Raw genomic sequence first — 26,998 nt, 5'->3', positions numbered from 1 at the left:
ATTACAATGGTTCAATCTCTGGGAAATATTTTCACATCATGATGACTTCTATTCCCTCTAAAACCATATAACTGCAAGGATGCATACATAATCAGCTGAAGAGGATTCCCATAGAATATCAGCAGTAAAAGAAATATTGCATAACAGATGGAAAAAGCAACTGACTTGACTACATAGAATAAATTTCAAGTAAAAAGCAAGCCCAAAGTCAAAGAGTACACTAGAGTAAAATCTGTGGCAAGTACAGAAAAGCATTAATATCTTTTATGTAAAAAGTTTTAATCGACCAGAAACACCTAATGTCTGAATAGAAAAAAAGGTGAAGAATATGCTCAACTGTCAGAAGCTATACTAATAACGAATGATAACATCTAAAAAGCTCTCCTTTAATAATAACTAGAGACGTAATTTAAGACAGCAGTAATGGCTGGTTTTTGCATTGTGTAGTAGCACACATACACAGCTAGATGGAGTGTAAATTATTATACTCATCTCAGAAAGCAATTTGGCAAAACACAGCGAGACGATTTTTACTTTTAAGATGCAATATGATGGAAATTTTAAAAAATCACCTTTATGTATAAAAATGTTTATCGCAGCATCATGAAGAAAAGCTATAAACATATATATGCAAAATAAAACGTTTAAATAGATTATGTTGCATCCATAGAACCATATACAACACAGACATTAAAAATAGTATTTTATACGGCTGTTAAATCATAATAAAAAAGTAACTGAAAAATGGAAACTAATTTTATTCACACTGCTACATGTACAAACACAGAGGAAAAAAATAATAATAAGAGGACAATGACTATTTATGAATTGTGGGCAAAAGTGATTTTTCTTTTTTATACTTTCCAATAAAATTATCTTCCAAGAACAAATTAGAGTGATTAAAATAAAAATTAAAACATTTAATCACAAAATTATATATTTATAATTTAAATAAATTACACATTTATATAAAAAGAGGAAAATTTAAAAGCACCTATAATCCTACCAACTGCTGTTAATAATTTTAAATACGGTCTATGTATATATACACAATATTGTTATAGTTGGGAAAATAGAACTAAACATTTAAAGAATTAAAATACATTTAAAAACCTACTTTGTCATCCACTGAATTTTAAGATCTCGTAATGCTTCAGTAAACTCTTCTTTTAAATCTTTCTCTTTTTCTGAATCTTTTTCCTTATCTTTGCTGCCATTCTTAGTCTTTGTTGGTGGAGGTATTAAGTAGTAATGAACAGGGATTACATCCTACGAATGTGGAGAGAGATTCTTAGATTAATATGCTTAATTTTACATACATCAAAATCATCTTCAACAGCTACATGTCATGTAACATGGGCTGCACCTAAGTTGTACTACACTGTATTCTAGATTCTAAGGGTCACAATACACCAAAAATTCCAATCTCTGGTCACAGTAATTTTCTCACAAACTGATGCTGAGTACTGATACTTCAAATATCTCCTTTAAAATAAAAGAGATAAGAACATACTTTTCTCCATTTGAGTATATTTGGTATTCTTGGCTTTACTTGGCAGACAGATGACAAAAGTACACTGACCTTTCACATTTTAAATCTGAGAAGGGGATGAAATAAGTTCAAACTAAGAAAAGATTCTCTAAGTAAATTTAAGGGGACGCTTATGCCTTCATTCAACCAACAGGACTTACTGAGTCCAACCAACAGGACTTACTGAGTCCCCGCGATGTGCCAGGTAATGCTAGAATAGGTAAAGAACAGACCAGATGCTGACATCTGATAGGAAGAAAACAAAACAGAAAAGGATAGAATGACTGTCAGGTAACGAGGGGGAGCCGATGGACACAAAGTGGTTATAGAAAGCCACTCTGAAGAGGTAATATCTTACGCAAACGACCCTCAATGAACAAGGAGCAGATGAGCAAGTGTAAAGACCTGAGCTGGGTATAAAGCAAGCACAGCTGTATCTTCTGAGAAAGCAGGCAGCAGCCAACTTAAGTAGGGCTTGACAGAATATGGTTTAAAAAAGAAAAGAAAAAATACTATATATTGTATTCCAAGTGCACTAAGAAGCATACCAGAAGAGTTTTACAAAAGACAGTGACATGATTAAAGATTTCTGCTTTTTGTTTAATGACTCTGGTTCCTGTATGGATTAAAATTTTGGTTTGTATTCTATTTGGAAAATAGATTATAGAGGGTAAAGGTGGAGGCAAGAAGACAACAAGTTAGGAAACAAACCTAGGAAACCCTACACTGCCTTAGACTAAAAATGGGTCGCAGAAATGGGAGAAAATGAATAGATTTGAGATCTTCTTTAAAGGTAGAACCAATGTGTTGCTGACAATGTTGAAAAATATGTGGATGAATAAGGTCAGTTAGGGATAGTGAATGGAAAAAGCAGCTCTGTGAGTGAGAAAAGGAAAGCAAAAAGCACCTGGGATCACGGAAGCCTTGAGGAAAAACCACCAAGAAGAAAGAGAAAATGATCAACTGCCCATTTAGCTGAGAGGCAGTGTACGACGAAGAAGGAAGGAACTGAAAACCCGGCAGCACAGAGCCTACTGACCCCCCCGGACAAGAACAGTGTCAGGGGACAGTGGAGCAGTCCAGGCTGGAGGAGACAGAGATGAAAAGAGAATGGAAGTCAACATGTCTGTGATTCTTTTGAGAAGTTTTGCTTTGAAGACAGCAGCAGAGAAATGGAGAGTAACTGTATTTATTTTATTCACAGATAAGTCTTGACTTGTGAAAGGTAAAGCATTATTTGGGAAATGAAATCACATGCTATACCTGCTAGATTTGTTTTTGGCACAGTAACTGGGTGTCCTTAATTAAGTCGTTATTTATTAAGTCAGTTCCTCAAATTCTATCTTCAGGTTTGCATTTAAAATGGTGCTAAATTAAAATACTATATTCATTTTAATTAACAAAGTTTGTAAAACTGAAACAAATGTTCCCAAAAAGACATTCACTGAAAAAGCTTTACTCTGGTTGAGTAAAAAAATAATACTGCAAGTCCTCACCTCCCGCAAATAGGATTTTTAGGAGCATATACGACACAAATATTCCCATTTTAAATATTTTCACCAACACAATTTCGGGGTATAAAATGATGTAACAGTAAACAACAGGAACTATGGTTGTAGTTCTAATAGTATTCCAACACAAAATAATAATCCTATCTCCACACTGACTCATTTAAAGCACAGAAAACCACTTTGATGTCAGATAACCATATAAATCCATTTGTAGCCACTGGCTGTCATTCTCCCTCTGAGGTCAGGGGGCCAGAACCTGTAAACAAAGGCCTCACGTGAAACATGAGACTGGGAAAAGGAAACAGGTCTATTGCTTGGGCTAGCTCTTTCAGGACCCAGCTGCCTGTCCTGCTCCTCTCCTTCTTGAGGTTCACTCTCTGGGTAGGCACTGCCCTGAGCAAAGCCAAGGTAAGCGCAAAATCTGAGCTGATCTTCTACCACCAAGTTCTTATGGAAACAGACTGCATCAGTGTCATCTGTACAGCAAAGACAACACATCTAGGAATTAAAGGGGCTAAGTGGCCTCCAATATTTACTTTCTGTTAATATAGCTCCATTCTCCATGGAATTGAGCTTCTCTGCCACCCAGTGTGCTAGAAGAGTGGTCTCCAGTCTTTCTCCCTGAGCTTCCCACACCTCCTCACCGTATCAGGGAGAGAGGTATGCTGCTCTTAGGCAGGCAGCCTATGTGTTGTGAGGCACTTCCTCCTCAGACTCAGAGGTATTTGCTATTGTTTTAGTACAGAAGAGAAAAGAGAATTGAATTTAAAATGAACAATCTATTAAAATTAATTTAGGATTTACAATTAATTCTAACAAAGACCTATCAAAAGTGGGAAAAAAGATATCCTAGTAACCTTAGACTATCATTAAAAGCAAAAAAAGAGACAAAGAAAGTTTATGATGAATTATCTTAGTGAAACAAAAATCAAGGTTTTGTAATCAGCATTTTACATGTTAAATATATCAAATTAACAATTATAAATGTTAGTGTAATCCTACAAGATGTTTCAGGACAGGGAATTTTTTATTAGTAAAAATTATAAACCTGGTAGTTTTAATTTCTAATCAAAAGAAAAATGGCGCTATTTTCACTTGCTGTATCACAATAATTTCTTCTTTGTGCCAATAAATATTAATATTTTTATGACAATTCTCAAGGGGTTAACATAGTACCAATTTAATAGAAATAATTTTGTACCTTTATTCTTGAGAAATCTTGATTATGGTTTAAAAAGACAGTCAAGAAGAATCTTCAGAGCAGAAATGCTATGAAGATTTCTCTACAGTATATATTTAATGTTAAGTTTAGAAAAAAGGCATTCCAGCTATTCATGAAGTATTTCAACAGTGTTCAAACTGAACAGTGTTATTCAGAAAGTCAAACTCACCTGCCAAACCAATAACTACTCTTTGGGCAACACAACGCACTATAAGTTAAATTGTGGTTCAAAATGGCAATTTCTTTAGTTCTTAAAATTGTTAGTAACTGAATACTCAAAAATTTAAAAGCTTCACATAAACTATTTTTAAAATTTATATCATATTTGAATGCTATTTATGATCTGTTAAAAGTGACAATATTCAGGCTGGGTGCAGTGGCTCATGTCTGTAATTTCAGCATTTTGGGAGGCTGAGCCAGGAGGATCGTCCGAGGCCGGGAGTTTTAGACCACCTTGGGCAACATACGTAGTAAGACCTCTCTCTATAAAAAGTAAAAATTAGCCAGGCATAGTGGCACACGCCTGTAGTCCCAGCCACTCTAGGGAGGCTGAGGTGGGAGGATCACTTGAGCCCAGGAGCTGGAGGCAACAGTGAGCTACGATCATGCCACTGTACTCTAGCCTGGAGTGTAGAGTGAGACTGTCTCTTAAAAAAACATACAAACAAACAGAAAATATATTATTGCATTTTACAAGGAATTTTAAAAAGGGTGACATACCGTTTCAAATCAAGTCACTGAAACCCAGAGGAAAAAATCTATTAAGAATTATATACAAAATGCTATTTATCTTAATCAACCGGAAATTATACATGTATTTTTTTCTTTGTAATGTGACTATAAAACTGTAATACTAATTATTTCTAAAATAAGAGCTTTATTGTGTACTTGCATTGAAGACAGAAAGGAACGAGCAGAGATAACTCTAGCTGCCAAGTTCTTCAAATGAAGCTTTACTAATCACCAAGTAAATGCCTTCCTATTCATTCAGTGTTTTCCTAACTATACAACCTAATTCAAACAAAATCTACCCAAACTTGCAAAAGGTCAACAAAAATAAGAAGAAAAATAATTGGCTATGGCCTTCGTGATAAGTGCCTTCTATTTTTAATAGATTCCTAGAATACCTATTCCTTGTTCTCTAAAGCAGTAACTTGCAAACTATTTTTACAATGTCCCAAAGATATACACATTAATACATAAAATGAAATTACAATTTTATGAGTCTGATGAACTGACATTTCCTATTTTAAAAAAATGCTGTTTTTATCCCATTACGTGGCCCCCAAACGGTCAAGACACCCAGTTGAGAAATACTGATCTTTAGATCTTTCTCCAGAAAGATGATTCCTAGTATCTGTATTTTGTTTGGACAAATTATTTACTATTATGTAATAATATGGACATTTCAGAAGACATTTTAATAAAGGATAAGCTGTTATAGAATGGTGATTCCCCAGTTCCATATCACTACTAATTAACAAGTATACATTAGGACATTACTGATTTTCCCACTGTAATTCTTTCTGTTTAAAAAGAAATCATGAAAATGTTGAATGACGTAGCACGTCTTCACCAGAAAGCTTATTAAATATGTGGTCCCTTTTATATATATATATATATATATATATATATATATATATATATATATATATATATATATGTATGTATGTTTTGTTTTGAGACAGGGTCTCACTCTGTCACCCAGACTGGAGTGCAGTGGTGTGATCTCAGCTTACTGCAGCCTCCACCTCCCAGGCTCAAGCGATCTTTCCACCTCAGCCTCCAATAGAGTAGCTGGGACTATAAGTGTGTGCTACCACGCCTGGCTAATTTTTGCATTTTTTTGTAGAGACAGGGTTTCACCATGCTGCCCAGGCTGGTTTCAAACCGCTGAGCTCAAGGGATCTGCCCAACTTGCCCTCCCAAAGTGCCGGGATTACAGGCATGAGTCACTGCGCCTGGCCCTAAAATATATTTATAGCAGACATTTTCTTTTCTGAGTTAAATCTGGCCCCAGCAGTAAATCAAAGATTGCTTAATATGCTGCAGAGAGGCTGATCAGACCACTTAGTAGCGATGGGCTTAAAATCTGTGTTCTTAGCATAAGCTTTAATTGTCAGTGAACAGTCCTTATTTCTGTTCCTGCTACATCCATTGATCTTTATTGTTTCTCTTCTTTCAGAACCAGAATGGATACAAGAGCAGGGAATAAAGTTCGCTTTAAAAAGCTGCAACATTTTATTAATCAAATCACCCAATTTAAAAGTGCTTTTAGACTTTAAAAATAAGTGCTTTAGCTTATATGGCTAAAAAAAAAAAATTATCACATCCATCTCTCTATAAAATTGTAAATATGAAAAATTTCAAATATTGCTACTTGTTATCATATCTGTAGCAAGAAATGAATAGCATTAAAATTTTTGTATACACAGAGAAAATGAGTCATCCAGGAATTTATGGTGGGGAAAAAAAAAAAAACCTTTAGAAAAGCAGTATGTCAACAATGCTTCTAAGTACAGCTAAGAGCACTATACTTTAGAATGCAAAGAAAGGAAACTAAGGGAGACTTATTAAAAAAAAGGTTTATAATAGTGACAGAAAAAAGTTTAATATGCAAATAAGGCTTTAAGACATCTTTTTTAAGAACTGACAATCAGTACCTTTTTAAATTTTCCTTGTCGTTTTGCTGCAGACTGCCCCTGGGAGTTAGAACGACATTCTGTAAGAAAACATGCATAATCTACACAGGATGGAGACAGAACCTCTGTCTAATTGTCTTTCAGTTTATGTTCCACCTGTGTTACACCACTTAGAAGGCTCAGGTCTGTGATTAAGATGGCATGCTTTTAAAGAAAGCAACATTGCCACTTTCATTCCTTACATAAGAAAAAGTACTCAAATATGTTATTACTAAGAGTACATGTCAACTTCTTATTGAAAAATTTAGTAGATCAAAATCTATTGCTTATAAAAGCATTTCTTAAAATAGTAAATTTAGTTGATGGTCTAGTCTGATTAAAGGGTACCACAACAACCCCATTGCCTATGCATTCTTATAAAAAGCAACAAAGTTACTGTGAAAGTCAAAGTGAAGTGAAAGTTACCTTCCCAACTACCAAAAAACAAGAAAACGCTAAACCACTGAGAAAAGATTACATAAACAATGTGATGGAAGTTATAATGAACTCAACAGCTTTAAGTTACTGCTTTCTCCCAGGAAGGTCTCCCTTGATAAATAGCTACCATAGTTAACACCACATATTTATAATTTAATTTCACAATTGTCTCCTAAAACAATGTAACTGGGAAGTAGTAACTATTTCTGAATTGCTAAAAGCCCACTTTTACTAATAATGCTTTTCTGTTATACTCTTCACAAGTAAGCAGACTCTTCAAAGTGTCATCTGTCATCTGAACGAAAATTCACAGCTGACGCCCAATAGCTGGAGCAGCTATGCTTCCTGTGAAATGAAATCTACAAAAAAAACTACCAGGGTTTCTTAAATCAGTGCATGTATTAATTACAAACCATTAACTATTGATTTACTTCAAATTATACTAAAGTACGTATGTATAAACAGTATAAACTGAAATGAGACCCAAGAAATGTCAGGGTAGGCAACTTTCTAAGCACAAGTTTCCCCAATTATGCTTCAATGACAGTAAATAAATGGCTTTTGGTTCAATAGTGGCAAAAAATAAATATAATTCTTAAGATGTATGAGAACTACTCATTTTGATAACAGCATTTATGTAGCAGGCTTACTTAGCTCTGTAAGAAGTAATAGTACAGAGAAATGCAAAACTGTTAAGAATGACAACTTTTACTGGCATTGAGCTAAAATGATTATTATGACAAAAGGTGATAGATCTATATAAACATCATTCTCATAATAAATTTGTAATGAAAACATAGAAGGAAAAAACAAAAACAGGTAGGTACTTATAAAACTGTAACATATATGTCTAAAGTACAACAACCAGAAACATATTTCTAAAAAAAGCATCATTTTGAAATTAAAAGGCAATACCAAAAGAAACATCTCATATTTTCCTACTTAACCATGTGAAATTCCAATGAGATAGGTCTGTAGAAGTGTGAAGAAACATGTTTTAGGGTAATTGTTCTGACTACTTTTTAAAAGCACCCCAAGATAATCTGATTTATTCCTATGTCCATAATCTTATATGGACAACCAATCTTATTGGTTAAATTTCTATAACATGTTCTAATCTTAAATATCACATGTATTTAAGCCAAGTTTGATTTGTATTTACATGTTTCACAGGAAGTTCAAGTGTATTAGCCGTAGGAGGTAAGACAGGTTCAGGGCCTGAGTACTGTAGGCTTGTGAAAAAGAAGCCTAAATATTTCAAAAGTAGCATACATTTTAAAAGACAACTAAATATTAACTGACTTTCACTAGTAACCTGGGAAAAAAGGATTAAATTTTTTTCCCCAAGAGTATATCTTCTCTTTTATCCATTCTGAAATGTGGAATTAATTCTTATCTTTAAAGAAATGAAATTTTTTAATAGGTAATTTCAGTGTTTAAAAAACTAATACTTACAGCTTTCTTTCCTAGTTCAGTCTTTGACAATGTTAAGGATCCTGCAAGATAGCATCCAGGTCCTGCCCCTTTAGGTATTCTAAACAAGAGAATTCAAAGAGAAAAAAAGCAACAAAAGAGAAAGTTTCACAAAGACAAGTAAGGGGAAAAACATGAAAACAATTCCACACTGAATTCATTCCCATAGCTAAGACTTCAAAAATCAAAGGAAGAAATACTTCAGCCAAAAAAAAAATGACTACATCCTCTAAATTTAGCCTAGATGTCATAAACTGACATTAAAAGGACTACAGTGTATACGATGGGCAGTAAGTATAAGCAATGTTATCACTTACTTATCATCAGGTAAGGAAGTAACAAAGAATGGCTGGTTATATTTGGGTGGTAATGTCAAATTGCTTGATTTCTTCTTCCCTAGAAGTGCAAAACTATGATTTTCATGAATATCTAAGCTCAAGGTATTAGACAATCTATGAGAAACAATAAATGGAAGGTCTTTAAGGCGTTCCAAATCACTGATTTGCTCATGGCGAATCTGTAGTCGAATTGTATAATCTCCTTTCTCCAGTTTCAAAGAATACTGAAAAAGAAAAACAACATTTGGGAAAAGTTAAGTTTAACCAAGTCAACGGAAATCACTGAAAGAGGATAAAGTGAAAGTTACCATTCACAGACTTGTTCATAATATGTGAGGTACAGTGCAAGGAACTAACTATCCAGACGTTCATATAACACATAAAGTCCCTAGTACGCTGGTGAGCAGACAGGATCAGGGACATCAAGTGACTTGCCTAACATCACACAGAGTAAAGTATAAGAGAGCTGAAGTCAGGTCTGACTTCAAAGCCCTCATTCTTTCCAGAACGACAGAATACTCCCACACTTTTAGCAAAACTCAGTGTCTGCTTGAGAATGACAAAAGCAGTGATTTTCTAGTTCATGGGTCCCTCAGAGACATATAAGAAACACTACCAAAAAAATGAGCAAAATTGAGGCACCATAGAATATCTAGGACAAATACACACACACACACACACACACACACACACACACACACGTGTAACTTATGACTACTGGTAATCCTTATTTCCTTTTAGAGAGGGGGACTCACTATGTTGCCCAGGCTGAAGTGCAGTGGCTGTTAACTGGTGCAATCATAGTGCACCATAGCCTAGAGCTCCAGGGCTCAAGCGATCCTCCCACCTCAGCTTCCTGAGTAGACGGGATCACAGGCATGTGCCACCATGCCCAGCTGATCTTCAAATTACAACCAAAATGTCACTCCTTTATTACAGACAGGAAAAAAACAGGAAACCAATAGAGATCAAGGGATACAAATCTATTATCCACTTAACAGGTTCAAGAGGAAGAGATGCTGTATCCTGTGTCAGCCACTTTTTCTGAGATTTAAAAAGTAACCAAAATAATAGCACTGCAGTAGGCCAGTCTGTAATGAGATGTGACTGCTACTTGCTTTGAGGAAAATCGATACCATTCCTTTAACAACTAATTGAAAAAAATCTCCATAAATTATTTTCATTTGTCAACATAAAATTATACATATTACAGGAAATATCTCATTTCTTTGCAGTAATATCTAAGGGATAAAATGTCTATAAATTATGTGATTTTTCCCTTCAATAAAACAGCACAAAGCATAGTGCCTGGTATGTAGTAAGTGCTCATTACAGAGTTGTCCAACGAGGTAGTAAATTTAAAAGTACAAATGAACTGAAGACATGCGGCCACTGCTGCAGTGCTCTCTTTAGCCCCCTCAGACTTAGGATCATTTCAAGAGGCTCGCATCTCTTTGATGCATGCTTTGATGATTCTACCTTCAGATAGGTAGAATCAGTGTATAGGAAGGAGAAACACCACACACCAAAAGTTATGCTGGCCAGTGTGGGCAAGGTTCACCCTTGTCCTCCTCTAATTCAGCACAACTACATGGTGAAATAGTTGACACCATCTGTTCTTCACCGACTACAACAAACAGGCTCTCACAGTTTGCAAAAGTACTAAACACAAAGCTATAATTTTTGTTTTTTTTAAAGTATGAACATTACCATAACAAGAAACCAGGATTTTGTTAGTTCAGGAAACAGCTTCCGTTAATTCTAAAAATCACCATCAATTTTATACCTGATGTGGATAGGCATCGCCTGAACCCATCTGTCTTTTGTTCTGGTCAAAAATAATCCACAGTTGGCTGTCAAATTCAGATTCATATAATAGTTCACAAAGTAGTGGGCAGCTTGGAGTTACTTCCCCACTCTTGGGCTATTAAAAAACAAAAAAGATTACTTGGCATGATTTGCATATAATTTCTGATACAAATTTTTAATATTGTTATTGACATGAGACTTTTTCATTTAAAAAACATTAAAAATACTTGTGGTAAAAAATTTTGAAAATATAGAACACACAGTATTTTAGCACTTATAAAAGTCACTGCTCTCTTACAAACTTTTAAAAATACACACCTGGCTATGTGTATTCATTAATAAAGCAACATATACATACTTCAGGACCTCTAATTACTTTATAAAACTGAAATGTGAAAATTCACTGAAACCAATCCATTTCCCTAACATTATAACCAAACTGATGTGTGTTTCAGTAACAGTTTTATTGAAATCTCATTGATCTTACAACAATTCTTTGGTCCAGCATTTACACTGGCCTCCATTACTTTTGCCACCCATCCCACCTGGGAGCTACTCTGACCTTTCCCTGTTCCAGTGCCTTCTTCGCAGAAAGCAATCAGGCCCAGCACCATCACCAGAAGGCAGATGGTATTTCTGAGCCATCTAATCACCCCTGGGTCAGATGGCACCAATGGACAGTGATCAGTGATTTTATAAACTAAGGCTTAAGGCTAGGTCACCACTCAATTACATTTTGTGACTTTACAACTGAATGGTATTTAATTACAAATTATAATTTCCTAAAGAGTAATTCCAAATTAACTGTTAATCACTTGATTCTGTTTTTTATATATACCATATACACTGTCCTTCCATTTTTGATTCTATGAATCATAAATAAAACACAAAAGTTCATCCTAAGGGTACACTTTACTAGGCAAACACTTACTTGATGAAAGTTATATGTCAGGACCATCTCATAAAGTTGACGGTTATTTGGCAAAACATCTCTTGATCCTAAAGGTTTTGTTTTTGCACTCACTGGGCTGTAATGAGGAAACTACATAACTGGTTTGATTCAAGAGTTCATTGAATGAGACAAATAAAACCATATGCAACAAAATCTGTAACATATTGCAAAAAGTGCAGATGAACCTTCCTGAGAGCTATCCTTTTCAGTATACTCTACAATATTTTAATCACTAACTTACATAATTATTTGATTGAATCATATCAATACATACAGTTTAGATTTTGCAATAAATATGACAAAGGCAATCTTTTCATGGCAAAAACATTTTCAAATGTGAACAAACAGCTCTCAATACAACCAAATCCTAACACTAGGGTGACAACTAAAAGTGTTGCAAGACAGGTTCTGATTTGTACCCCTTGTGCAAACTGTTGACAGTACTGTGTTGTGTGCAGCACAGACCTCCCCAGACCCCTGCTGCTCACCAGATGGCAGGGGCCACACTCAGCCCTCCTCCTGGCCGAGGGAATGTTATTTCATATTTTTAGTAGTCCTCTGAAGGAAGTTGCTAATGTACAGATTTTATAAAGGAGAAAACTGACACTGAAGAGTAAGTTTTAAATATAGTTTAAAATGTCAGTGAAACATAATCTACTCTAAATTTAGCTCCAATTTTTTAGATTTAGGAAGAAAACATCAGGATGATATAAGTTGGATATATCTTCAAAAGCTGGATGTTTTAATTTTTATTGATAATTCTAGGAAGCAGTATATCTTTAGACATCACCGTGTCACTGACTATTGTCCCTAATTGGTTATTTTAATACACTTAAGACTAGGCTTCATGCCGATGAGTTAAGGTCAGATTAAACAAAAGAAACCAGGTATCTTTATAACACAGTGAGTATGTGAACACAGGTCAAGGTGCCCTGCTTTTGTAAGGGGAGCTGCTGAGGCACAAACAGCAGGCTACAGTACTTAAGTTTCTACCATTTAATAAACAGTTTCTAATGGTATTGCAGTTTCTAAAAATGACTGCATTAGGATTCACAAAATAATATCAGAGAGAATGTTAACTTGCTATTTTACAGCAAGAAATAAAAAGGTTAATGTCCACTGATCCTAACTAGTCATGACTGGGATCGGCTATCCACCATCCTTGACTTTGCTGGTCAGGTGGGACAGTGAAGCTAGAAGCTGATACTGGGGCTGCCTTGCAGAGATCTGCTGGCAAGGATAAAATTCTCACCTCTAGCATGCAGGTGGATTAAAAAAAAAAAAGGCCCTTTTTTAAGAGTGTAAGAGATCCCCCCAATCTATATTCAATATCTGTAGTTCCTAAAACATTGAATGATACCGCAGTGTTTGGACCCAGTTCTTCAAAGTTATGCAGGGAGCCAGATCTTCGTATTTCAAGGAGGACTGAACATCAAAGCGGTTGATTCCTTCCGATGCATGCTACAAAGGATTTCTCAAATTACTTTCTCAAACTTTACTAAAAATAAGCAATATTTTGTACCTAAAATAAATGTGTCCAATATAAAGTTTATAAGTACCCACACACAAAGCCTACTGCTATCTTCAGAACCACAGGTAATTTCCCCTCATTAAAGTTTAAATCTAACCAATGAAGTTACTCTCCAGTAACACAAGTAACTGACATTAAAAATCATGAAAATGTTGTGGAACTTACAATGTTTAACTGAGGAGCAGTACACACTATCCCATGGAAAGAAATGGTATAATCAATGTTGACATCACTGAGACTTGCCCACCAACGAGCAATGCAAAATTCAATTGCTTTTCCACCCTGCAAATAAAAGTAAATAAAATATATCTCTTTTCTTATTTTTCTCAAATTACAGAATATAAATACTAGCTGTTTCAGAGCAATTCTGTTTTCAAACTTTTCCTGTTTGTAGCAAGAAAACTCAAAAATTTTAACAGCTATGCTAAGTAAGAGTTAGACAAATCATTTGCAGAGATATGGTGTATTTAAATATACATAGTTATTTACTCATAACCCTATGCTTCTTGTCATAAAAGATCCTAGGCAGCTTCTGAAAGCACATATAATAAAGCAAATGTGATTTTATTATTTCGAAGTGAAATAAAAAATTAGGACCAAAAGAAAAATAATCAAGTATAACGACACAATAAAGATACTTCAACTTTGTAAGGCATACTCAATAGGCACAATTGAGTTTGGGCTCACAGCTACCTGGCAACCAAAACAAAATGACATTATGGTCATTTACATCTTTCTCCCTATTAAAAAATAAAGATAAGGAAAAGGAAAAAAAAACACCTGCTCTTAGCACTGAGTTTTAAAGTAAGTTTTCTAGTAATCAGTGATTTAAAAGTTTAAAAAGATGAAGCAACACTGATCCATGGAAGAACACAAATGAAAGTAACCAGAAACCAAGAGATACTGGGAAAATCCCAGAACCAACTGAAAACACAAAGGAGCGCATTGAAGGAAGAACATCAGTACTTTCACCTTCTATGGAAGAAAGACTAGTCATCATTTCCAACACCACAGATAAGAATGCAGTCTGCCATCATCTGAGATAACTTAGACATGAAGCAGTAGCAGTTTTCCTATAATGCAAATTAGCCTCATAGCTTAACAACACAGCATTAGTAAAATAAGTTAAGTGACAAGCAAACAGGTCTTAAAGAAATTAATCTATAGTACAACAAAGAATAATCTAAATCAGGGTCCTAACTACAAGGCACGAGAATCTACCAGACTAGTATGTTTCTTTGACTATGCTATTCAAGAATTACAGCCATAATTACCTCCAACTTGATTTCAAGTACCCTGATTAGATTTTCTATTTTTCTACTTCATTTTTTTGGCATTAAAAAAATATATAATCCCAACATGCTAAATACAAACTATAAAATCAAATGCAAATACTTAGTCTTAGCCCATACCAAAAAGGCAAATAAATTGTGTTAGGATTATAAACTATAATTAAACTTACTAGGACAGGAAAAGCTTCAGTCAGTGTTCCTTTCTCTGGAAGAGAACAAAACTTATAGAATTCATGGCTTCGATATGCTCTTTGCTTCACAAGCTGGACTGCATGTAGAACAAACTTTGCTGACACCTCAGAAGAACACGAACACACTGTCACTTCTAAAATAAGAAAGAAAGAAGCAAAGCTTTAAACTTATAAGACCTAAAATTGACATAAAGTGGCTTTAATAATGCCCACTTAGGGATAATTCCCATGTAGGGACATAATAGGGATCAAAAATAAAATGTACACTCAAATCTGCATATTTCCATAAAAACAAAGAATCAACAAAATATTAATAAAGGTAGAAGACTAGAAGATTTTCTATGGGAACGAAAGAAACTGGTATTAAAATGAACCACCACCATGAGGCTGCAAACACCTGGAAACAGCAAGCTGTCCATAGATGCATACACAATTACATTAATCGGGTACCTTTTAAAATCCCTCCTTGTTTTAGCTGAAAACCAGTCAATTCCAGATAAAGTAAGGAAGGTTATATTTTTGGAAACCTCTATTTGTTATCATGCCTCAATTCCTCATTGATAACTTTTCCTAATCTCTCTTCTTGGTCTACTTGTGTACTGTGTGCGTCTACAAAGCCTGGCACGACTACTTATGCTTAACTTTACTCTGAGCCAGCGCTGGAGGTAAGCCAAGATCACCGCAATGCCAGATTGGCAGCTTTTCTAAAGAACACCCAAGCTAATTCAAGGGAACTGAAGCAAGGCGCAATGCCGTGGCTCATAAAACCAGGTGTGCAGAGAGCTCTCAGAACCTAGTCAGTTGCTAAGAATACAAAATCTAGTGTTATGACAATATTTCTAATTATTTGAAATAAAACTAAGACTGTTAAATTCTCTTAACTACTTGCATTCTAGATCATTTGATAATTTTTATTTAAAAAAACAAATTATTTTCAATACCAACCTAAACCAATCATAAATCAGTGCCATTTATCACTAAACAAGTACCCAATTCAGTATTAATTAACCATAGATTTGTATTCTTTAATTTACCAGTGCACATTTTACCAGAGCCTGGAGCTCTACAAGTCCCAGGGGCCCTATGAGAATGGGACCCCAGGAATGCTGAACACAGCAACTCTGACTCCACCCTCTAGAAGTACTGTCAAGTGTGAGCGTAATCCCAACGAAGACAAGCTATGTACCAAGTACTATAAAATCCCTAATCCTTACAACAGACTAACGACTATATTTACAGTTGAAACAGAAGTCCAGAAAATTTAGAAACCTGCCCCCAGGTAACCATTAGCGTATGGCAGAGTGTGGATCCAAACCCAGACTTCTCAATTTCCAAAGCCCGTGGCCTTGCCGCTACTCTGTGCTGCCTCCCTCTAATCCAGTTCTCTTAACTGCAATATCTTGGACTAGATGCTCTCAAGGCCTCTGGAAGCAGGGTCCTTGTCTAAGTAGCTCACCACCTTAGCCCACTGAAAAGGGCCTGGCACAGATGGTACAGAAAAATATGCTTAATGAATGAGTGTAGTACAACCCGATTATCCTCAGAAGCCTCTCACTGCTGCAATAGCTCCATTATAAACCAGTGTGCAAATTAACAGGCTATATTGGGTGCTGTTCAATTCACTGCTTTAGCTCTCAGCTTTTGCTATTATTTTGCCTTTACCTAATTACAAAAAACAAGAAAAGTCTGGTATTTCCTGTGATACCAGGTGACAAACAGATGGACAGCATACAGATAGATGACCAGAAAATGGTATGGGGAACCAAATACAACCAGTTATTCCCAAACCAAGTCATACATGTGTGATTTCAATATTTCATTTTCAATAAAGTCTCAGATGTAAATATATCTGTACTTTCATACAAGTACAAAAAACACACTCCTAAGTAAAATACAAGCCATTTTTACTAATGACACCTATCTACCTTATAGGGTTCTGACGGGACTAGACAAGATAATCTCTGTAAAGTGCTTAGCAGAGGGGCCAAATCCAAGAAGTATCAACAATGCTGGCTACTAATTTAAATTGGGTGACACTTTCTTGACTGCCCGTATTTGCTTCCTTCTATCAATGGGAGTGAGCTCTGACAACTGACATACCCTTCTATACTGACTGCTAAATTGTAAATTTAGGACACACAACTTGTGAAGGAAAATATGGTACACCCACAGCTCTTGTAAAAAAGAATGACATGAGCACTCTCACAGGACTATAACATGTTAATTCAAGAGCTTTGTGTTAGGCAATCATTTACTCTCAAAATTTCAGAGACACTGAAGTGAAAATCTTCTATAAACAGAGCTTCAAAGATTAAAGCTCTATTTCTAAAATTCTGAGAGTTTAACAGTTTGAGGTTTAAGCAACAGCTGCATTGTTTAAACTGATTTGTAGTATTTTAAAAATTAGGCCGGGCACAGTTGCTCATGCCTGTAATCCCAGCACTTTGGGAGGACGAGGCGAGTGTATCACGAGGTCAAGAGATCGAGACCATCCTAGCCAACATGGTGAAACCTCGTGTCTACTAAAAATACAAAAAATAGCCTGGCGTGGTAGCACACGCCTGCTAGTCCAAGCTACTCGGGAGGCTGAGGAAGGAGAATCGTTTGAACTGGGGAGGTGGAGGTTGCAGTGAGCCGAGATCATGCCACTGCACTCCAGCCTGGCGACAGAGTGAGACTCTGTCTCAAAAAAAAAAAAAAAAAAAAAAAAAAAATTATTACCAGGTAAGGCATTATTCTAAACTAAGCTCAAACCTTAAATATTAAAAACATCTTAAGATGGCTTAATTTCCTGTATGGGCCAATGCAAAATTGTACTAGATCTTAAAAACGTTTTGAACTTTACAGAAAGTCTAAGGTACCCAAATACATATATTAGTACCAGGGAAATACATGCTACAGATAAACGAACCTCATACAGCTATAGTCATTAGAACGTAAACAGAGATAAGCGGTCACACAGATTTTAATTTTACCTACCAGCCCATGTTGCACCCTCAGGAACCTCAATAAAATGCCTTCGAATTTGACCAGGTTTAAAGTGTACATCTGTAAAGGCTAGATCATAATGTGATGATTCATTTACTCTGAAAATTAATAAAAGTAATTAAATGTATATATTTATTATAAGACCACAGATACTCTAGATTTCATTGGATAAACGCAAAATAACAATTCATTGGAAATAAACACAGGGACTTAGAAGCTGGTTACAAAACAGTAGGTACGATATTGTTCAATTTTTGCAGTAGGTTAGCAGAGATAACCTCTGAATAGCAGAGTATAGATGATTCTACTTTTTGCCTATTTTATGATTTGTAAGATACATTCACACACACTATTAAAAAAGCATTCTCTTTTTTGTTAAAGGCATTCTACAACATTCACAGAATTTTCCAATTACCAGATTCCAAACTACAGTGAGTCCTAGATATTAAAATCAATGATAAAGTTTTATGTCACTGGTATTATAGCTATGAGACTTGTGTTAAATTAAGCTCCTCCTGTAGCTTCAAAACACTCCCATGATGTAAAACAGTAAAGAAAGGCAAACTACTTTCAAAGCACTTTTGTAAGAAATCAATGAAATAAAGTTCAAATGCATAACTACCCACCACGGAAACAAATTTTATGCTAGAGACAAATTCTTGTCAGTAGGACAAACGGTTAAATGAGTGCCTACTACATGAGGCCCTGTTATTAGGAGCTAGAAACGTAACAAAGAAGAAAATATGATTCTTTAACCTAGACAATCTAGCATGGAGAGAATCATCATCAGAGACATTTAACATAAGATGCTCCAGATAGACAAGAAGAGTTACGGAGCCTGGGAAGCTTCCTGAAGGAGATGGCGTGGCAGCTGACTCCTGAAGGTCTTACACATTACCTGGTCTAAATTACTACTGGACTTCGAGGGAATATACGGCTGAGAATTTAACTGTTGCACAATTTTTCCACATGTATACCACTTTTTAAATTTATTCTCCTCAATTTCATCCTGTGTTTCTCATGGGCTGAGATCTATTGCATACTTAATATTTACCAGAGTAACAGAACTGTTAGTTTAGAATTTCCACTTGGTTTCCAGTACTCTCACAATCCCAATCTCACCTTCATCCACTAGATAATTTATTTTATACATCCTGTATAACAGTAGTCTCTGTGCCTTCGGTGGGCTCACAGTGAAAGAGTGTAAGTTAAATAAAAAATTACAATATATTGGCTAAAGTCTGTCCAGGGGCACGTAAAATGTGCCACGAAGCAGAAAGAAGGGACTCCCTTCACCCAGGGATGACCAGGAATGCACCTGGTCATTAACTGAAGAGACAGGAAATTGAAACCAAGTTATCAGCTGTGCACATGCACAAATCCTGAGAATCCTCAAGTGCCAAAATCAGTGAGTTGGCCAAAATGTGTAATTTGGTGTACGGAATGACAGGAAACACTGGCTAGGGCTATAATTGTGAGGGAGCATTGTTTGCTATTTTAAGGAGCTTGAACTTGACCTTTGGAGGTGCCACTGATATACTTTAAGCAGGAAGTAATATAATCTGCTGATTTTTCCTTGGTTCCAGAGGAATAAGATGGGAAGTTAAGAGTTTCTTAACTTCTGCTTCTACAGTAGATAACTAGAAAAGTGGAAGCATTAAGAGAAGAGAGTAAATCCCAAAAACGACAGAGACAAAAAGGGCAGGAATGGAGGGGAGTGAAGTAATATTGTCAAATACTACAGTGGGATCGGGTCAGACGAAGCCTGAGTTATCCTCTGAACTGGGCAATGCAGAGCTCAGAGTGACTGTGGTGGAAATAGTTTTGATGCAGAGGTAGGGCAGATGCCAGGTGCCATCAGTTACTCTCAGAGCACACAAGAGTCAGTATGGCTGACTACATGACACCTAAAAATGCTAGCTGGGAGCAGAACTAAGACAAAATCCCCATTACCTGGTTCTGTATTAGTGATCATTAAAAGTCCACAAGACTCCATGAATAGTCATTAAAATCTTAGATGTACCAGTAAGCTGTGAGTAACCTGTTACTTACTTTGCTGCTATAACTGCAGTGATCGGAACTCTGAAGAGCGGACCTGCGTTAGGGGATGCTATATCATAGCCACATACCTTGAAAAAAGAATCGGTAAGTGTCAATATCCATAAACAAATGTTTAAAAGAGCGGGGGAAGGTCTAAACTACTGACAGAATAAATCAATCTACTTTTAATCAAGGTCTTAACCAGAGGTTGACACCAATTTCCTGACACTAGGTCACATAATTAATAGCAAACAGCCCAAACAAATGTATAGCAACATTTGACCAGTTGAAATGGGAAAATGAGACGTCAGGTACAAAATAAGTGCATTTTAATTACTCCCAACTGAAAAATTAGCTCAAACTAGTACTACAGACAACTTTAGATGTGGAGATACTGTTGTGATACTATTCTATGCCTGGTTTACAACTATTTGTTTAACAGATGCTTTCTTCATCTGAGTACTAAAAGGTATAACTGGCTGGGTGTGGTGGTTCACACCTGTAATCCCAAAGCCCTGGGAGGCCAAGGCAGGAGGATCACTTGAGGCCAAGAGTTCAAGACAAGACTGGGCAACATAGAGAGATCCTGTCTCTACAAAAATAAAAAAATTTAGCCAGGCTTGGTGGTGCACGCCACTAGTCCTAGCTACTCAGGAGGCTAAGGTGTGAATATCACTTGAGCCCAAGAGTTCAAGGCTGCAGCGAACCACGATCACACCACTGTACTCCAGCCTGGGCAACAGAGCAAGACTCTGTCTCTTAAAACAACAACAACAACAACAACAAGCAACTGCAGCTTTGTTTAGCTGACAAAAGAAAACACCAGTTAGAGGGAGATCTAATTGAAAGGTTCTGCTGTACCTCTTCTTTCCTTTTACTTATTCATACAAGGACAAAATATGATTCTTTAGAAACTCACTGCTTAAATGAATATAGACACACCAGAAGAACTGAATAACCTGGCAGATGGATAGGTCTAGTTATTTCTTAGCAAGAAAGCAATATATTGCAAATATACTTTGGATTTTTTTTTAACCTTTTAAACATTTTAAAGAGTGAAGAAAGTAAAAATGAAGATACATCAATACCTCTGTATAATGCAATCCTTCTCTTAAGCCCCTGGGATCCACACGTATGTTTATGTGTCTACATTGATTCATGAGTTCCAAATGGCTGGGACACTGAACCCAAGATGAATTTGAAGTCAGAGCTAAATGAAGCTGAAGGGATATTTTTTCAGAGTTTTCTGGCACGAAAAAGACCAAAAATTAAAGATGAGTATTTTTTTCCTTTTTTCCATTTAAAAATGTTACATCTTTCCAAAAAAATTTAGCGACTTGGTTTGGTTGGCTGTAAAATGCATCCAAAACACAGCTTAAATAAAACAGTCAAATAATCTTCCTTACAATTTAGATTACTCATGATTCATTTATACTTTCACCAAGCACTGGTATGACCTTAAAATAAAGAGTTTAAGTGAATGTTTTCATTACTGCACACAGGTCATAGTATTCAACTGAAATGAAGACAGCCAGATAATAGCGATGATTATTTTTGTTCACACCTAATCGAGCTGCAGTTCTCCTAGACTGCTTCTACTTTTCATTCTTCAACAGAAAGCTCTGTCTTATACCTAAGTAGGTAAAGTGGAAAAGAAATTTGATATTTTATTATCCACAATTTAATAAAGCTGTGGGTCACTGAGGCTCATTCTACTGTTTTCCCTGGTAGTTTAAGATGCTAACTAAATTGCCATTGTACAAGGACCCCAAATTGCTCTAATATTTTCTCTTATGACTAAGATTTAAAATAATCATACTGTCAATTCATGTATTCTCTTCACAACACTGGCCCAAACAGCAATTCTTTATTATGATACCACTCATTCAAACAGCAAATGTGAATACGTCAGCTTACTGCCAGCCTATTACTGACCTGTGTTCTCCGGAAATACAGGTTCAATGCCAACGCCATGATCTGAAGGTGCAGCCACCTGAACAGGATCTCGGAGGTAGATGCCACGGTTATTTCCAACAGTAACAGTAAAACCTAATTTATTAGCAAATGATGTATTCTGAACGAGGTAGTCATAGGCTTTATCAACCTAGTGAAAATAATATACATGGTAAGATATAAATGGTTGGGTCAAAAAATATTTTGTTGCAAATTACCAATCAATTTGATTTCAGTTGTAAAACAAAAAGTTAGTGTCTATATTCACCTCTCAAAACTACCTAGTACCCCAACTAAGAGGACAATTCTACATTTTTAGAAACAACACCAGTCACATCTTCCACTCCACTCTATTCACACTGTTATTCTCAAGTGACCAAATTTAGGAACTAATCCCTATGCCGTTATGATTGGCCAGTTTTTGACCTCGATTTCTTTGAATTTCTAACCTCTACATGGCCTCCATCTATTACATTTCTTGATCTTAGTGCAACAGATTTGTCTTAACTACAAAATTTGTTTGTGTATCCTTTTTGCTTGTAGTTCTATGGCCATATAATCCATAATTCAGATATACTGAATCACTGTTATAAAACAAAATATTACCCAATAATATCTAAGATATTATCTCAATGATGCTTTACAACCCATTTTTCATATAGGCAACAATACCTGAATAATACCATGTCCTTGAGCAAATACTTCTATATTGTCAGCCTTCACTGCAGTGTTTTCTAGAGCTCTTCTGACTGAATGAACTGTGTAGTCAATGTTATTAGCTTTCAGACCTAAAATTAAGAAACAAAAACAAGTAGTGTAGCACTCACTATCTGAAACCTTAGCCGCCCACCAGTATGATCGATCACCTGTAGACCCTCTGGTGTTAATGTCTTGTGTTCTAACACTCATTTTAAAATCTTTTTTGAAGACCTGAACTAAACAGTCTGACTCAAACTGCTTGCATTACATGAAGGCTTCATTCCACAAAAATCACTGTGTTCTCATTATGTGGTGGGCAGAGAGACTGGTGTGGGCTTTGTGGCGTAATATAAACGTACAAAGCAGATATCTAAAAGCATGTGAATGACATTTTCTTTCAAACACTGCTGGGTTAAACAAGATGGCTGTTGGCTGTGGTGTTCAACCCAACTGTATGTTATAAACCCCAGGGGAACTCAAGCAAAAAAGATGCTGAGGTCTCATGACAGACCAATTAAATCAGAATCTCTGAGGACTGTCCCAGAGATTGTTATTTATTAAACAACTCTCAGATGATTCTAGGGTACAGCCAGGTTGGGAATTACTGTTTTATGGGAAGAATATGGAGGCCACCAATTCATAAGATGAGTGCTGTATCATTCTTGTCCTCTCCAGAGCTCATTAAACACATAAACATTGATGATATTGTCAGACATCAGAGGAACTGACAGATAAGCCGCCTCTTAGAGAATGTACAGGAGTCTGCAAGGCCACAACATGGCAGACAGGACTTCGAGGCAGAGTGCAGTACACCCAAAGATGGAGGCCAAGAGGCCTTGAAATACCTGGTGAGGCTGAAGAGAACTAGAAAGAGGGTCATGTTAGGATCCATCCTAAGAGTGTGGGCTCAACCTAGAGAAGGATGTAGCACTTGAAGTGGTACATCATCACAGGCTTATGCTGATAGCACCAGTGTGGACAGGCCATGCTGAGGAGATGTGGTGAGCAGAAGAAACTGTGGTGTGGGTGAGAAAAGCGGGGAAGAAAGGAGGCAGAGGAGAGACAACTTAAAGAGGGACGTTTCTGAGGAGGGAGCTTCACAGCAGCCTGGCTACCCTAAATCTGAGTCCTGGCTAAGCCCAGTGCCACTCTATTTAATCCTGTGCACCACTCTAGAAATCCCTCCTTCTCTTTCTACCTCATTTTGCTCACGGCATCCATTAACCTCTAACATGCAACATCTACAGTTTTTTATTTTGTTCAGAGTCTGTTTATCCCAACTATAATATATATAATGATGTAACCTCCACATAGGCAGCTATTTTTGATGCTTTGTTCACTAATTTAGCCCCAGAGCTAAAATACTGCTTGACAGTCGTTAACAGCGGACAGCCAACAAATATACTGCTGAATAAACACACATTCAAATTATCATTATCACATAAGTTATTCGTTACCTTAAACTCTACTTTGTGCCCAGGGAATTATCAATTCTACCACATGTTCTTACCATGAGAGCTTCAGAAAACAAAAATATTGGTCTGCAATAATGTAAGGACAATAAAGAACACGCTTACCTGAAAGGATCAGGGCAATGCCTCCACATGCATTGGGGGAAGACATAGATGTTCCATTCATCAGCTGCGTCCCTCTCAGTGTCCAGTTAGGAACAGAAGCAATGGCTCCTCCTGGCGCACTGATACTCACACCAAGGGCCCCGTCAGCACTAAATGGAAAGCCATTGAAGTTTGCTTAGGATGGTGAAAGCTAAACATACATGGGCATTTTTAAGACGACCACTGGTTAAATCCAATAGTATAACACTATGTACTAACTGCACTCATTACAAATAGTGACACAGATACTACTATGAAGAATCAATGGGGGAAAACACCCAGCAGAGCCATTTTCCCATAGGCAGCATTTATTTTTTCCTTGTAAGTGTACAGAAATGTCTGTGTGTATATACATATCTGGGCATGTGTGACAGGCCACAGTGTCAGGTATATTTAGAGAGAGAAAATAAATGTCACTGTTCTGACTCTTTGATGAGTGTACATCTCTCTTATCTGTAATAAGAAACTTTCCTTCTGTTTAAGGTCTAATATAGCACTGTACAATAGAAATATAATGTGGGCCATATAAATTAACATTTTCTATAAGCCACACTTAAAAAAAGCTAACAAGACATTAATGCAATTAATTTTAGTATGTTTAACTAGACATAGCAAAAATATTAGCATTTCAACATGTAATTAATAGATACAAAGAAAAATGAATTAGTTTACATTGTTTTTTTTGTACCAAGTCTTTGAAATTTGGTGTACATTCTATACTTACAGCACATCTTAACGCAGACTAACCTCACGTCCCTGACTGCTGCCATACTGGACAGCTGAAGTCTAACAGGACTGTCCAGCTGAGGGCTTCAAACAAGCAAAGTCTGATGAATTAAAACCCTCAGAATTCATAACCACATTATCATCCAACAAAGCTCTGTCCTCTGCCCCAAGTAAAGAAGGAATGGCACAGAATAGCACACTTCCGCCTCCCTGGCTAAGTGGCCATACATTCCCCACAGAGGCTGCCAGACTCTCCTTATACCATCTCCCAACTGAGTGAACTATTTTTACTCTTGGGTAGAAACACTAGAGCAATTTGGCTTTACATTTTTTATAGAGAACTGAAAGCAATACATATATATTCCTCTTGAAATGGGCTGACAGCACCTCTTTTAGGAACCATCTTAGAACAATTACTACTAGGTAAATATCTGTTGACCTGTAAAGATGCTCACAATGTAATACTGAATAACAAGTAGGCTACAAAAGTGCCTGAACAGTGTCATCTCCCACTAATTCATGGAAGAATGACTAAAAGGATGTTCATCAATATGTCACCTGCACATATCACAGATAACAAGGTTTAGGGTGATTTTCTACCTTCTTGTTTGCACTGTATTGCCTAATGGTGTTCAGAATGAGCATTGGTATTTGATAGCATTGGAAAAAATAACTGGAAAGAGTCATGAATTCTGACTACTTATTGCTCTTTATTAATTTTCCACTAGCTTGTTAAAGTGGTAAATGATAAAGCATTTCTAGATGTTTAAATCAGTATTCTAAAAATGAGTCTCAGCTGGGCTCAGTGGCTCACACCTGTAATTCCAGCACTTTCGGAGGCCGAGGCGGGCAGATCACGAGGTCAGGAGTTCAAGACCAGCCTGGCCAACATGGTGAAACCCCATCTCTACTAAAAATACAAAAATTAACCCGGTGTGGTGGTGAGCGCCTGTAATTCCAGCTACTTGGGAGGCTGAGGCAGAATTGGTTGAACCTGAGAGGTGGAGGTTGTAGTGAGCCGAGATCATGCCACTGCACTCCAGCCTGGGTGACAGAGCAAGACTCTGTTTCAGGAAAGAAAAAAAAAAAAGTCTCATGAAACAGAAATGTTTCCTTAAAATTCAAAAAAAGCCAGTTAATATTTTTCTTCTCAATTACAATATATAATAAAATTTCACGACCTGTTTATGTAGCTGTGATTACATGCACCCACCACCATGCCCAGCTAAATTTTATATTTTTAGTAGAGATGGGATTTCACCACGTTGGCCAGGCTGGTCTTGAACTCCTGACCTCAAGTGATTCACCTACCTTGGCCTCCAAAAGTGGTGTGGTGGGATTACAGGCGTGAGCCACTGCACCCGGCCCAGACATTTGGTAATACGTCTTTAAGAAATATGCCACACGTGCAAATGCCTGGAAGTCAGTAGTTGCTGTGTGTCTCAGTCAATGCTGATGCAGAGGCAGCGTTTTTCAAAGATTACAGAACATGCTCTGTTCAGTGACCATTAATCAATGTTTCATATTTTATACCATCTAATGTAATAATTAAAGCAAATTATTTCTAATATTATTTCATGTTTATGAAAAATGAAACAAATTCAATTCTTAGAACATCTGCTTTGTGAATCAGTATCTACTTTAATCCAAGCTTCCCCCATAATTCATGAACTCCTTGGTGTTTTCTTAAAATAATTCTTTAAATGCTCTATGGCGAGTATCGGCAAAGGCTGGTTTAAACATTCTCTAATACTTTGTTTTTACATTGACAATAAGATAAAACTTAAAATTCCAAACTCAGTTTTAGAAGAGAATAAGTTTAATAATTTTACACTTTTATTAACTGAACAAAAACACATCAAGCTTTGCTGACTTTTGGCTCTTCTCCTAAGCCACTCTTATTGAGTGTCTTTAGCTGGGCTGGCAGGGGCAGTCTACAATGACAGCGCAAAGCAAAGCTTTCTGATCCATGTGGATATCCACGGCCTGGTTGTTTTCAATGACACT

General features: G+C 36.4%; 1 protein-coding gene across 8 annotated transcripts in view; it reads right to left on the bottom strand.

Annotated features, from left to right (window-relative positions):
* TPP2 (tripeptidyl peptidase 2) overlaps nucleotides 1-26,998 on the bottom strand; it is an 82,973-nt gene that overhangs the window by 21,634 nt on the left and 34,341 nt on the right. For 4 of the 8 annotated variants that reach the window (XM_005254070.3, NM_001330588.2, XM_047430579.1 and 1 more), the window contains exons 11-25: nucleotides 24,227-24,375; nucleotides 22,623-22,738; nucleotides 21,933-22,101; nucleotides 21,086-21,243; nucleotides 20,010-20,086; nucleotides 17,949-18,055; nucleotides 14,949-15,103; nucleotides 13,652-13,768; nucleotides 13,316-13,416; nucleotides 11,935-12,031; nucleotides 10,981-11,118; nucleotides 9,174-9,418; nucleotides 8,839-8,917; nucleotides 6,928-6,966; nucleotides 1,118-1,269 (exon numbers count right to left, since the gene is read on the bottom strand). In XM_005254070.3, the coding sequence (XP_005254127.1) occupies nucleotides 1,118-1,269; nucleotides 6,928-6,966; nucleotides 8,839-8,917; nucleotides 9,174-9,418; nucleotides 10,981-11,118; nucleotides 11,935-12,031; nucleotides 13,316-13,416; nucleotides 13,652-13,768; nucleotides 14,949-15,103; nucleotides 17,949-18,055; nucleotides 20,010-20,086; nucleotides 21,086-21,243; nucleotides 21,933-22,101; nucleotides 22,623-22,738; nucleotides 24,227-24,375 (1,899 nt within the window). The remainder of the gene's footprint in view (nucleotides 1-1,117; nucleotides 1,270-6,927; nucleotides 6,967-8,838; nucleotides 8,918-9,173; nucleotides 9,419-10,980; nucleotides 11,119-11,934; nucleotides 12,032-13,315; nucleotides 13,417-13,651; nucleotides 13,769-14,948; nucleotides 15,104-17,948; nucleotides 18,056-20,009; nucleotides 20,087-21,085; nucleotides 21,244-21,932; nucleotides 22,102-22,622; nucleotides 22,739-24,226; nucleotides 24,376-26,998) is intronic. The other 4 variants (NR_160411.1, NM_001367947.1, NM_003291.4 and 1 more) reach the window with 1 other exon arrangement.

Source organism: Homo sapiens, chromosome 13 (genome assembly GCF_000001405.40).
Source record: "Homo sapiens chromosome 13, GRCh38.p14 Primary Assembly".
Classification (NCBI taxonomy): domain Eukaryota; kingdom Metazoa; phylum Chordata; class Mammalia; order Primates; family Hominidae; genus Homo; species Homo sapiens.
Note: the sequence above shows the minus strand (reverse complement) of the source record. Positions and strands in the feature narration are given on the sequence as shown.